This window comes from Homo sapiens, chromosome 17 (assembly GCF_000001405.40).
Source record: "Homo sapiens chromosome 17, GRCh38.p14 Primary Assembly".
Classification (NCBI taxonomy): Eukaryota; Metazoa; Chordata; class Mammalia; order Primates; family Hominidae; genus Homo; species Homo sapiens.
In genome coordinates, this window is record NC_000017.11 from 8,564,848 (window position 1) to 8,579,763 (window position 14,916).

Consider the following 14,916-nt stretch of genomic DNA (forward strand, 5'->3'; position numbering starts at 1 on the left):
AATAAACAGGATACTGTGATAGAGAATAATAGAAGAAATATCCTCAGATATGGTTTTAGACTAACTAGCTAGTTAGGAGAAGAAATGTGGACAGATCTGAAACACCTTCTAGATGTTTAACCAACAGGATTCACTGTTGGCCTGGACGTGGGCCATGAGAAAAAGGCTGATTCCTAGGTATTTTGTCTTTCTAGGTTTTGCTATTGCTTTTATTTTAAGTTTAACCAACTGGGTGATTTCATAATACCATCTATTGATGTAAGACATAAAGGAACAAATTTTGAAAGGAAAGGAAAAACTTTCATTTGGAATATGTTAAACTTCAAGAATCTATTGACATCCATTTGGAGATATCAATTAAGCTGCACAGTGGCTGGCAAATAATAGGTGCTTAATAATTAAAAGAACTAAATAACAAATCAAACATCAAAATTACACAGAATTGAATTTAAAAATGAGTCTACAACAGTTTCTTTCAAACCCCAAGAACCAACACCAATAGATAAATATTAAAGGGGAATTTTAACTGAACATTATTTAATCAATGGACCTAATTATTTTTAATGGAGCTACTGAGATCAACTACTTGTTTTAGTACTGTGTAGGTAACACCTTATGATAACAGTAGATAGCAATAAACTATTACTAAAAAAAATACGTATCAATAAAAGTTGACTTTCTAAGAATTAAAGCCCAAAGTAAACAATTTAAAGATATCTCTGTTTCTTGGTCGAATTGAAAGCTACGTCTAAGAACAATGCCCTAATAAAAAATCTTTTTTCTACTAAAAACAAATCAGCTTTTACTATATTAGAATGCACTTATTATATAGTAGTGCAGGCACTTTGGAAGGTGGCACTTCAGCTGAAATAGCATTTGTTGAACATTTGGATTCAATGGCTAATTCCTGCTTCTTTCCTGTGTGCTGCTTCCAGGTGGCTAGAAAACAATCTAATTCTTCCTACCAGCAGAATGTAAAATAGGTTTCTATCAGACTTGATTGTCAACCTTTGGAATAGGATGTATACATAACAAGCATTAAATAGACTCATGTATTACTTTGCAAATAAATTTCAGAAAATAATTACCTTAATTTAGACTATAATTTGAAGGAACGATCTAGAGCAGGGTTTCTCGATCTTAGCATAACTGGTATTTTGGGCTCAATAATTCTAAGCGGTGGGGACTGTGCCATGCATTGGATGGTATTTAGCAGCATCCTTGGCCTCTACCAACTAGATGCCAGTGGCACACCACTACCCAATCTCCCAGTTAAACAAAGAAAGATGTCTCCAGACACCGCCAACGTCCCTTGGGGAACCTCCAATTAAGAACCACTGACCTAGAGTCACTCCAGTTACAGGTTAAAACCCTACATACATCAATGATGGAAATCACTGTAAGGATTCATAGTAGCCATGATAGCCAAGACCACCTCAATGATCCCCACCTCTGGTATTCACAGTTCCCTCCCACACAGTATCAGGGTTGGTTTGTATAACCAATAGAAGACAATAGAAGAAGGCATGTGATTTCCAAGGCAGAGTGTGTAACTTCTGTCTTTCTCTTGGATCACTTGCTCTGGGAGAAGCTGGCTGCCATGTCATGGCAACATTCAAGGAGCCCTATGGAGAGGCTGCCTCCAAAGCCAGGAACTGAGGCCTCCAGCCAAGAGCCATGTAGGATAGGGACCTCCCACCAAGAGCTACCTGAGGAAGATTTGAAGGAGATCCTCCCACCTCAGTCAGGCCTTCAGATGACTACAGCTGTAGCCAACATCTCAGTGACGACCTCCTAAGAGACCCTGGGCCAGAGTCACCCAGCTAAGCTGCTACTGACTTTCTGACACACAGAAACCATGAGATAATCGATGCCTGAAGCCACCAGGTTTTAGGATCATTTGTTACGTAGCAACTGATAACTAATATAGAATTATATCTGTCCAAACACTAAAATAATGAGTTGAAACACACCCTGGCAGGGGGATAAATCCTTACACTTCGTAACAGAACCACTACATTCTTTACCCAAGGACACAAATGACGGCTTAGTAGCAATTTATCTTTTCCAGGAAAAAGCGGGGCCACTGAGCACCAAAACTGTCTCTCTTGAATTTAGGGTATGGTTTGAGGGCTGGGGGTGGGGGAAACAGAATAGATTAGTAACTTGATTTCTGTGGTAAGATAAACAATTTTCCACAAAGAAGTCCTTGAAGATCTTGATGGAGATTCACATACCAAAGCTGGCAGCTCACTGTTCCTTCTTTCCTGTGATATAGCCACTAAACACAGGGCATTTCAGTAGGAAAATTTCAGATTTAGTTGTGGCTCAGGCTCAATGGGGATGATCCAGGAGAGTGACGGAAAGTCTGAAGGAATGCAGTTTCCTCAGATCGTTTCTAAACCCACGAGTCAAGTCACAGGCATGCCTCCTACTGACACAGGCACATTTGTTAACCCACTTTGCACATAAAAAGCTAAATTAATTACTAAATGAACTTGGATTAAGTGAATCTTCAAATTTTATCTTCCTGGGAATAAACAATATTCCAAGAAAATACATCCCTATTTCTTACATAACTTGGAAAGCGTCTTGCACTGAAACTATCTCTGAAGGTGCTATGGGCTGAAATGCGTCCCTGCACAAATTCCTGTGTTGAAGTCCTAACCCCCAGGACCTCATGATGGAACTGTAATTAGGAAGAGGGTCTTTAAAGAAGTCATTACATTAAAAAAGGGTCATTAGGGTGCACCCTACTTCAATATAATTGGTGTCCTCATAAGAAGAGATTAGGACACAGACACACACAGAGGGAAGGCCACGTGAAGACATAGGGAGAATACAACCATCTATAAGCCAAAGAAAGAGTGCACAGTGAATCAGCAAGAGAACTAACATAACCAACTCCATTTTTGTTTAAGGGGCCTTTACCCATTCCTGCACATGGACAAGGATAATTTTAGAGCACTGAGATAATATGCAAAAACAGCAATCAGGTAGTTTTTAAAACTAACTCTGAGATTAAAGGAGAAGTGTGTGAACAACTATGTTTCGTTAAAGATTGATGAGAGCACTGTGACTTGACTAAGGACAAGGATATTCCCAACCTCCTTGGACCCTTGCCGGCGCCCAGATGTCTGTGGTCGTCAGTTACCTCTTCATCCCAACCCTCTCCCCTTCCCCCTGCCTTAACATAAAAACAGCCTAAAATGTGTTCTGACTTCAGAGGGTCCTCTGGGACGCTAGTCCACCATCATCTTCGTTTGCTGGCTCTCCAGATAAACCTGCTTTTCCTCCCACCAACTCTCGTCTCTCGTGGGTGGCTTTCAAGTGGCACGCAGCCGAACTTGGGTTCAGTTATGAGAGGCCTCAGAAGAAACCAATCCTGCCAACACCTTGCTTCAGACATCTAGCCTCCAGAATTGTGGAAAAGTACATTTCTATTGTTTATGCTGCTCCCAGTCTGTGGTACTTTTATATCGCAGCCCTAGTGAACTAATCCAGAGGGCTTTATGGTTGCCCTTGTGTTTGCTGGGTCCTCTGTGATCCTGAATCTGGTCGCTTCCACTAATCATAGCAACCACACCATCGGTAAATTAATGTGCAGACCATGATGTTATCTCAATTTTAAAAAGCGTGTCACGACGACACTAGATCCCCCAAATTATCCATCAATGAACTGCTAGAACTGAGGTCTCTTACTCTGGCGTTCTTGACTTTTACCAATACTTCAGAGCAGGGAGAAAAAAAAGGGAAGAATTAATTTGAACAACTTAAGTGGAAATAATTGAACAATGAAGTCCTTCTTCAATCTAACAGTGGAAGGGGTTTCTGAAACTTGATGACCATAATCCAGGGCAAAAGACTTACTGGAGGAATGTCCGTTGTGTTGAATATGGGTTTAGAGATGATTTGCTGTGACAGTGTTGAAGGTGAGCAGCTGGGGTGGAAAGGGGCAGTGTCTCTGACGTAACAGAGACCTGGCCATCACTTAGGATAACATTCTCAGGTGAACAGGTACAGCTAGTCAAACTGAGGAGGAAAGTAAAGCTTTCAAGTTGAATAGCTAAGGAGAATTTTTAGGCTGGGTGTGGTGGCTCATTCCTGTAATCCCAGTACTTTGGGAGGCTGAGGCTTCCAGCGATCCTCTTGCCTCAGCCTCCCAAAGTACTGGACAACATAGTGAGACCCTAGTCTCTAAAAAAAAAAAAGTTACTCTTTTAAATTAGCCTGGTGAAGTAACGTGAGCCTGTAGTCCCGGCTCCTTGGGAGACTGAGGAAGGAGGATGCCTTGAGACCAGGAGTTGGTGGCTGCAGTGAGCTATGACTGTGCCACTGCACTCCAGGCTGGGTGACAGAGCAAGACCCTGTCTCAAAAAAAAAAAAAAATTAAAGAGAAGTCATAGTAGTGACAAATTATTCCAAAGTCCAAATCCCACAGAAAATAGCAAGGTAGGAAAAGGTCAGTTTACCACATCTAATGCGTTGAATGTTTACTATGCATAGTGCCGGGCTAAGTGCTCAGCGTGCACACCATTTATTCTCTACTCCGATTCCACTGACAGGTGTTATTATCATGCCCAATCAAAGATAAATAAGCTCAGAGAGGTTAAATTACATATCCATAAAATAAGACAGAGTTATACATTTCTGTATGATAAAATGATGAAAGTTACTTACACATTACCTTTTTTCTTTTCAAATGTGACTACTAGAAAATTTAAAATTACATGTGAGCTTGTATTATGTCTACAGAACTACATCTATTAGCTTCTTAAAATCTAGGAAGAAAAGTAATTCATTTGCTTAATCACAGTAAACATTTAACTAGAAATCTAAGGAATTAAAAGCTTCTGGTGCTTTGAAACTTACAAAACGAGATGAGTTATCATTTTTCACAGTCTTCGCATTTCCAAATGATTCCAGAATTGGATTTGCTTGCAAAAGCTGCCGTTCAAGTTCCCCCTAAAAGACATTACACACACACAAATAAAAGCAGATGTACGTTAATCTAATGTCTTTACTCAAGTCATCAGGGGAAAAATTTCTAAAAAAGAAACTGCATCTTTTCCTCAGTTCTTTCATTCTGTCTGCCATCCAGCAACTTTTGTTGGCTTCTTAATCCTGGTTATGATAATGGACTCCACTAAAGGAAAAAATTAGCATCTATAAAGTGGTCACAAGGAGAAAAAAATGTCACGCTGAACAGAGAAGATCAACTTAAGCATGGGGCACGTAAATCAGGCAGAGAATTTTGAAAATAAAACAGACTGGCTTTCATGAAATGAAATTTAGCACGACACTTCAATTAAGAACATATTAATACTTGTTTATTTTAACTCTGCCTTATTTGAAAACTTTAAGGCAGTTAATTTAACAGTTACCACTGTATTGATGTAGCACTTTCCAGTTTTCCAAGGAGTTTCATATACTATCTCTATCATATAGACAGGGCAATGTCTTCACCTCCACTTTCAGAGGATGGTAAAGACGTTGATGCTGCTAACTTGCTCAGATTTAAAAGGCTAAGTAGAGAGGATTCGGTAAAATGTCTGCTTTAGTTGGTGTCTTTACTTATATGTAAATTAGGCTATAAAACAGATTTTACAAACAAAAGGTGGAAATATATTAATACGTACTTTAATCATGAAACACAATAGAAAGCTGTATGAGAAAGCATGATGCCATTTCTGGCCATGAAAAGCACCAGAAGTGATGCTGTGTTTCTGGAATGTAATTTCAGAATTATATTTTATGACTTAAATAAACCTGCTTTTTCCAAACATAAATCTTACCCCTATATTTTAAAATACCCACAGTATTTTAGACCTAAAGAAAAACTAAATAAAAGCTGCTAGGAAATGCGATACTCTAAGCAAAAAAGATGAATATAAAGAACCTCACATGAGGCTTTTAAATTAGTGGCATTTGGTATGTGATGCACTCCATCACCATCAAATTCAAAAAAAAGAACAAATATATGTCATCCGTACAGTTCTGTCACGCCGCCCTGGTGTGGACTGTCACTCAGCTGAAAGGGTGGGGAAGTGTTCCTCAGGCACATTACACAGGAAGGGGACCTGCTCTGCCTACATCCATTACAGCATGATCTGGACTATCCGCATGTTCATAGGTCTTAACTACAATCTACAACCGTGTTCAACTGAAGCCAGTCAGGAACCAGTCTTGTCAAGAACCTCAAGCTACGTGGATGTCATTACATGGCATCGGTTTATTTTCTTGGCATTAGACAGTTTCCTCCCTGTACAACAAATCTTCTGTTTTCCTCACTTCAAAACCCTTACCAGACTATTTTTCCTGTAAAGTTTTTGTTTTTTTTTTTTTGAGACGGAGACTCACTCTGTCGCCCAGGCTGGAGTGCAGTGGCGCGATCTCGGCTCACTGCAAACTCCGTCTCCTGGGTTCATGCCATTCTCCTGCCTCAGCCTCCCGAGTAGCTGGGACTACAGGCACCCGCCACCATGCCCGGCTAATTTTTTGTATTTTTAGTAGAGACGGGGTTTCACCATGTTAGCCAGGATGGTCTCGTGCTGTAAATTTTTCTAAACCATTACATGCTGCCAAACTGTCTTAAGCATGGTATCCTGAACAACTTTGATGACTGAGAGCCATTGTTAAAAATGCCAGTCAGGGGCCAGGCGCGGTGGCTTATGCCTGTAATCCCAAAACTTTGCGAGGCCAAGGCAGGCGGATCATGAAGTCAGGAGATCGAGACCATCCTGGCTAACACAGTGAAACCTGTCTCTACTAAAAATACAGAAAAATTAGCCGGGTGTGGTGGCGGGTGCCTGAGGCAGGAGAATCGCTTGAACCGAGGAGGCAGAGGTTGCAATGAGCAGAGATCGCACCACTGCACTCCAGCCTGGGAGAAAGAGCGAGAGACTCATCTCCAAAAAATAAAAAATAAAAATTAAAAATGTCAGTCATTATTCGGTGATAGACTGCCTTCCTCCACCCCCCCGGGGTCAGCAGTCAGTTCCATCAGCATTCCTATGACCAATATCTTGCAAAGCCCTTGGTATACTCACTTTGCATTAACTGTTTGGGTCTCTAAAAGCCTTTTTTTTTTTAAACCTAATTCAATCTATGTGATGAGAATGTGGAAACTTGGAAAAACACTGGCATTCTAGTAAGTGGGACATTACCTTAATACTAAATATCTACTGCTAGACTTTGGATTCCTTAAAATCACACACCATCCTACCAAATCATAAGAAAAAGACTTTGATAGTCCATCTTTAAAGAGTTTTCCTAACTTGGAGGTAAAACCAGTAATGCATATCTTACTTTAATATTACTTAGATATGGCTAAAAGGATTATTTGAGTCAAATTTTCTATTGGTTCTTTTCTTTTCCTCTCTGTGTGTGTGTGTGTGTGTGTGTGTGTGTGAGTGAGAGAGAGAGAGAGAGAGAGAGAGAGATCCACTGATTCTATTCTTCTTGTGTTGGCTTCAAGTAACCTGGTTGTATCCCCTGTGCCTAACTCGGTCAGTATCAGGTCAAAATGATGCTTGGCAAATGCTTTGCTGAATGAATGTATAATCAGAGGTTCCACGGGTGTCCAACTCTTTAAATGTGAGGACATTTTTTGCTTATCTGTGATGGTGGATATCATGAAAATTATGCACAAACCTTTTTTTCTTAAATAGCTCATCAGCTATCGTTAGTGTATTTTATGCATAGCTCAGGACAATTTTTCTTCTTCCAGTGTGGCCCAGGGAAGCCAAAAGGTTGGAACCCAGAATTCTAGAACTATTTGGGGAGGGGATGGTGGTGAGCCAAAGGCAGCAAGAAGATTTATGGGTCCTCAGAGTCACCATGGTAATGGTGGACTCAGGCACTCCTCCGTCCCTGTTGCTGGTCCCACTACATTGATAGTGTCATGGTATCACTCCTACTAATGGATTTGTGGACATTGGTGAGACTGAGTAACGATCTCAAAAACTCCCCAAATGAATCCCCAAAAACCTGGTACAAAGCCAATTATCATAACATATAGAAATTAACATGAGATAATTTCTGTGTTGAACAATTTCATAATTAGATAAATGGTGCTAACAGATCTCAACCAAATTATGAAGGCATTTGTAAACCATCAGGGGGCAGTGACTATTTACTTTTCCTCTAGAATTGGATGGGCAATGTCCCTTGTTTCTATTCTATAATGTTATTTTGGAATGTAGAAAACAAGCAGCCTTAGCTATTGAAATGATTTTTAAAGTTCTAAATATTTAGAGTTATATACTGCTTTCAAAGTTTACCAGTCATAGTGAAAATTACACTCCTGGGTTTATTACATAGTATATAATATACACTTGCTATATGATATAGCATGAGTTCGAAATGGTTAAAAATATATACCTCTTTCAAAAGTCCAGTTCAGCCCGCAAGGGGACTCAGGCTGAGATCCGGCTGTACCTTGCAGGCCTGGCAGGGCAGAGCTGCAGGAAGGTTAAAAGCAGGCAGCAGCAACCAACCACATGTTGAAAACCAGACTCTAATCTCAACTGGCAGGCTCTCTATCACCTTTCTGTCTTGGTTCAGCACAGTTTAAACCAGGTTGGAGAAAGATACAAAGTCATCCTGAAGATGACTGGAAACACAGGGAGACAAGTGGGCTGGCTTGAAGGTATCATTTGTAGGGGACGGTCAAGTTTAAGAACTTAATCGATTATTTTCAAATCTGCTCTGAAATTGCACTATGTTGAGGCTTTGTGAACTCTGTGCTAGACTTTGAGGGTCTCTAAGAGCAACCTCTCTTGAGGAAAGAGGGCACACAGAAGCTGTACTTGCAGTCGGCTGGTGGATACTAAGGGGATATAGCCAAATAAGACCTTTAATTTTGTTATAAAAAGTACACCAAAAGTTCATAGATAAATGTTTATTTCAAGTTAAGTATTGTCACTTTAATTTTGAAAACTGATTTGCTTATATTTGTTCATATTTTGAAAATGAAGATGAAATTTAAAAGGTAAACATAAAAGACTGACCACACCGCTCACTAGGATGGCTTTAATAAAAACACAGACAATGCCAAGTGCCAATGAGGATATGGAGAAACTGGAACTCTCACATGTTCCTGGTGGCAATGTCAAATGGTGCAGTCTCTTTAAAAATGTTTAACAGAATTACCGTATGACCCAGCAATTTTACCTCTAGGTAGCTACCTAAGAAAAATGAAAACATATGTTCTCACCATAACTTGTACATGAGTGTTCACAGCAGCATTAATTACAATGGCCAAAAAGTAGAAAAAAATCCATATCCATTCACTGATGAATGGATAAACAGAACGTGACACATATTTAATATTATGGAATATTATTTGGCCATAAAAAGGAATGAAGTACTTATATGTGCTAGAATCTGGATGAACCTTGAATATATTATGCTAAAAGAAAGAACCGTCAGGGAGGACCACATATTATATGATTCCATTCACACGAAATGTCTAGAATACGCAAATACATAGAGACAGAAAGTAGATTAGTGCTTGCCAGGGGCTGAGGGGAAATGGCAGGTGACTGCTAATGGGTATGGAGTTTCTTTTGGGGTGAGGAAAATGTTCTAAAATTGATTATGATAATAATTGCATAAAGTGAATATACTAAAAACACTAAATTGTACACTTCCAATGGGTACATTGAATGGTATGTGAATTATATCTCATTTAAATTGTTTCAAAAAAAGAATGAGTAGATAAACAAGCAAATATATAAAGGACTGACAAAATCAGGAGCCTAGAAATGCCCTCCCCTTTGGGTTTACAATTCATACTACCGTTTAGTGATAAAATGCTGGATGTACACTCATGGTTCCTCGGGATTCAACTTTTGCTTATAAAGTTCAATGTAAAATCACAAACCAGTGGTATCAAATCAACCAAAAGAAACTGTAACCTTGGAAAGTACAGACTTTTCACACTGTAACTATAACTTTAAGGCAATCATTCAAGTTGGGTGAAGAAGTCGCAGACAGGGACACCCAGCAGGGGGAGAAGTAACTTCTTGAATGGTACCCTTCCACGGTGTGACCATTCCGTACGGTGCTGTTAAGTATTTCACGTTCCTCAGTTGTGTTGGGGAAGAAAAATTGAGAACGAGTATTCTTCTAATATTTCTAAAAACATCAGCATAGCTACTGCTTAACTACGATTAAAATCAACTTGGGAAAAGCAGCACTGAAGATTGTGTGCACAGTGGACACATGCAGTACGACATGCAAATCGGCAATGACCGGGAAGCATGGCCCAAAGAAGCTGCTGCCTTCTTTGGGAGAACCTGCTTCCCAGGGATTGATTTGACTCAAAGTAAAATCTAGGTGGGGGTAGGCATGCTACTCACATACAACAGGGATCCACTCTGTAGTTTAAAATGACATCGAAACAAAATGTTAACAACAATGATTTATGTGTTCCACAGGGAATTTGGAAAACCTAAATCTGTGTATTAATTGCTTAACATTATTTCAATAGCGACACAAGTACAAATTAAAAGGACATTTAGCAAGTACCTCTAAAGCATAAAGAAAAACTGGTTTCTGGTCCAGATTTTCCTTCTTTAATTGGCAAAGAAGCTTTTAAATACCCTACAGGATAATGACTATTTCATTTACCCTCTTCATTTGTATCACTGGTCTATTCTGCAGCTAAAGGAGCAAAAGGACATCATAGGCCTTCATAGGTACAGTACAGCTTGGGTGGCTGGCAATCTCTTAAGAATCTTAAGTAAGGTATCTTAAAATCTCAGTGTCTATGACAATTCCTTAGATATTTATGATTATTTCTTTATATTAACAGATCATTTCCATAACTCGATATTATTGTTTCTTGCTTTATATCAGCTTTATATCATTATGTTTGTGGAAGACCAACCAAAACCATTCCCATGCTAGGGAAAGGATTAAATCCAAGTATAGATGTCCTACTCTATCCAAGGTATCTGGCTCAGGTCTGCCCTCCTTCTCCTCCCAGGTAGTGAGAAATGGAGGTCATGCTATGATTCTTGCTTTTTTCACTGCTATGGTCTGTGGAGCTAAAAGGCAGGCATCTGATAACTAGGAAGAATAACAGTCTTCCACTACTTGCCCAGCATTAAGAAAATTGTAATTGATTTTATTTTACTTATTTATAGAGATGAGGTCTTGCTCCGTTGCCCAGGCTGGAGCACAGTTGTGTGATCATAGCTCACTGCAGCCTCAAATACCTGGGCTCAGGCCTTCTGTCTCAGCCTCCCAAACAGCTGGGACTATAGGTGCATACCACTGTGCCCAGCTCTAATTTATTTTATATATTAAATATAATTGGGCCTTTGGTTTAAAACACATACAGGCATAAACTATGCCATGCCATAAAACTTTAACAGATCAGAAATTTGTTAGCTCTAAAGGTATAATTTTTAAAGGGGCAGCCCCAAATTCAAAATGTAGTGTAGGGCACAAAGCTAGGTTTCCATGTGTCTGATAAGTATTAAAATAATTCCACCTAGTAAATGACATATGAAACCATAATTTATAGGCTTCATAAACATGCAGTTCAATGTCATGATAAAAGGGCAAATAAATATTAAAATTTATTGAGAAAACAAATTTAAAGCAAAACGGCATGCGCTTCTCAAGAAAGAATAAGGCTCTAAGCAATAAATTTTCAAAATTAAAATTTTTTAATGACAGATTTCACTTAGAACTAGTGGCATTTGATTCTAGCAGAGACTCAATCTACAGACAGAAATTAGTGCAAACACTCAAGACTAAGAAGCATAAAGAAGAGCACTTGCCTGGTGTTTCACTGGTTTAGGCGATTCCTGCTGTTCATTACAAACAGACAAATGCAAATGTTAGCAAGTTTGAGTCTTTGCCTAGCAGTAAGCCATTTCCAAAGCACCAAGCCAATGTGCAGTTGAGAACTGTGGAAGCTGGGTTGGCTGGCGTTCTCTCAGGCTGTATTAACTACCACTTCTGCATGTCTAAAAATTAAGGAGAACTGACATTTCTATTCTTGCCCTTTTTCTGTCATCACTTCTTCCCATATCTCTACCCTCCCCTCAAGCTGCTGTGGGTAGTAGCAAGAGGCTACTGCAAGTTCAGAAAGAACTGCTGAACAATTCTCAGCAAATCTTTGCAAGAAATTAGGCATCAAGCCACAACCATAATTCCAGTTTGCCCTGTCAGAAAACCTCTTTAACAGCAATTTCCTTGTATCCTAGCCTCTGGGGTGGAAAAAAGCATTGCTGGGTAGGTGGCGGGGAGCAGGTGGAGACAAGGGAGCTGTCAGTTATAGCAGTGTGGAGAGTAGACTGGCTTCCTTATTTTTGTTTCTGAAATTATAAAAGAAGAAGAAGATTTAAAAAACAACAGAGCAGAAACTTACAGGAATATTATGGTCCTTTCTTCCTTTATGTGAAGAAGCAACATGGGCAAGGTACTGAATAACTTTCTTTGTATTTTCTGTCTTCCCAGCACCTGACTCACCCCTGAAAGAAAGAGTTAATATAGGCTGCTTTAACGAAAGCACAGCACATGCATTCCAAAATTACAACTGATAAAATTAAATTGTATTGGAACAATAATTAATAAAAATAAAAAGAATAAATAGAAAAAATAACTATCAGCAGTAGTTAGAAAAGAAAATCATCCTTGTAAGAGGTATTAAATAATAAACCCAAATAATTCTTTTTTTTCTTTGAGACAGAGTCTCACTCTGCTGCCCGGGCTGGAGTGCAGTGGCGCGATCTTGGCTCACTGCAACGTCTGTCTCCCGGCTTCAAGGAATTTTTGTGCCTCAGCCTCCTAAGTAGCTGGGATTACATGCACACACCACCATGCCCGGCTAATTCTTATATTTTTAGTAGAGATGGGGTTTCACCATGTTGGCCAGGCTGGTCTCGAACTCCTGGCCTCAAGTGATCTGCTCACCTTGGCCTTTTAAAGCACTGGGATTACGGGCCTGAGCCACTGTGCCCAGCCAACCCAAATATTTCTTGATAGATGCCAGTAAGAGGACACAGGAAAATGTTCACGACACTCTTTTTTCCCTTGGGGGTGGGGGGGTTCTACCAGAGAAGTGAAATTTATTAGAACATTCATGAAGAAAACTCCTCAGTACCATAAACATATCTGGCACTGCAAACAGAGAATCCCTAAAACAATTAAATTAATATGATTTAATCTGAAGCAGCTGAAAGAACTCTGAGATGCCTGCTGGTATTGATACTCATCTTCAAAGCCACTGAAAGCTTTCTCAGATCCCCCTCTCAGAGCAGGCTAGTGACGATTCACTTCCTGGTGCCAGTGTTGTGCCTCATAGGCTGGGTTCCTGATGGCAGGGGCTATAGCCTCATATATTTATTTATTTGTGTTTTGTTTCTTTCTTTCTTTCTTTTTTTTTTTTTTTTTGAGACAAAGTCTTGCTCTGTTGCCCAGGCTGGAGCACAGTGGCATGATCTCGGCTCATTACAACCTCTGCCTCCTGGGTTCAAACAATTCTCCTGCCTCAGCTTCCCAAGTAGCTAGGACCATAGGCACACGCCACCACGCCTGGCTAAGTTTTTGTATTTTTAGTAGAGACAGGGTCTAGCCATGTTGGCTAGGCTGGTCTCAAACCCCTGACCTCAAGTGATCCACCTGCCCAGCCTGTGTTTTGTTTCTTTTTAATCCTTGTAACTTTTTCCAGTGTTGACACATAGGCAGACGTAATTTGTTGTCAAAATGAGTAAATACTATGAATTTTGTTGTGAATGAGGACAAATGCCACCATTTTAAATGATTCATATTTACAAGCAAGGCTGGCACATTTCAAAAGTTTTCATTTCTACTCACTACTAGGCTTGAAATTCAGACAAGCTGCTACACACACAGCGAGACCTGAATTACGGCCTCTGCTCAAACACTGAAGCTCCCCTAAGACGTGATCAAAGCAAACCTAACTTTACAGTCAACAAAATTCTCAATTTGGATTATAAGAAAAATTTCAATATCTAATTAATTTTTCTTTAAAAAAAACACCCCAAACTCAAAAATGTTATTATATACCTTGCCAACGAATAATCCTCTAAGCATTTAATCTAAGGATTGAAAATCTAATTTTTCTAACAAAGCTGGACTCTTTCTTGGAATTGTACTTAGAATTGCACTATTTGGGCCGGCCACAGGGGCTCATCCTGGGACTTTGGGATGCCAAGGCCGGAGAATCGCTTTAGCCCAAGAGTTCAAGATCAGCCAAGGCAGCATAATGAGACCCACATCTACAAAAAAAACACAACAAATCAGCTGGGTGTGGTAACTCCCACCTGTAGTCCCAGCTACTCAGGAGGCTGAGGTGGGAAGATCTCTCGAGCCTAGGAAGTTGAGGCTGCAGTGAGCTGTGATTGTGCCACTGCACCCCAGCCTGGGCAACAGAGCAAGACCCTGTCTAAAAAAAAAAAAAAAATTGTACTATTTGAAGTGTCCAAAACTTAAATTTTTCGGTAGTTTACTGAAAAATTACTGGTTGCATTATCTTCTTAACTCTGCACCCAGATAACCACAAACTCAACCGCAGGGAAGACTGGGTGAAGGAACCCTAGTGACCAACTGTTTGCCTCAGTAAAGAAATTTTCTTCTCTGGGCCTCAGTATCCCAAATCTGTAAAATGCAGGCATTGGATTAGATCCTTTCTAGCTCCAAGAGCTGACAATTCTAGATATAACCCACTTAATGGTTTATAAGACTATTTCCTATGTGAAGCTTATTAACCACCCCTCATGTTATCGTAACATTAGTTCCCTTCTGATTTGCCACCCACAAGTGTTTGAATCTTAGGTACTCCAATCTACCAAACTTTTATTTTAAGGTTTCTGCCCACTATTCATGCTAAAAGAGGCCTTTCTGGCAACCAAGATTACATCAATCTGTACTCTC

General features: G+C 39.8%; 1 protein-coding gene across 4 annotated transcripts in view; it reads right to left on the minus strand.

Moving 5' to 3' along the window:
- Positions 1-14,916, minus strand: part of MYH10 (myosin heavy chain 10) — a 156,514-nt gene that overhangs the window by 90,636 nt on the left and 50,962 nt on the right. For 2 of the 4 annotated variants that reach the window (NM_001375266.1, NM_001256012.3), the window contains exons 5-7: positions 12,389-12,491; positions 11,796-11,825; positions 4,873-4,965 (exon numbers count right to left, since the gene is read on the minus strand). In NM_001375266.1, coding sequence (NP_001362195.1) covers positions 4,873-4,965; positions 11,796-11,825; positions 12,389-12,491 — 226 coding nt within the window. The remainder of the gene's footprint in view (positions 1-4,872; positions 4,966-11,795; positions 11,826-12,388; positions 12,492-14,916) is intronic. The other 2 variants (NM_001256095.2, NM_005964.5) reach the window with 2 other exon arrangements.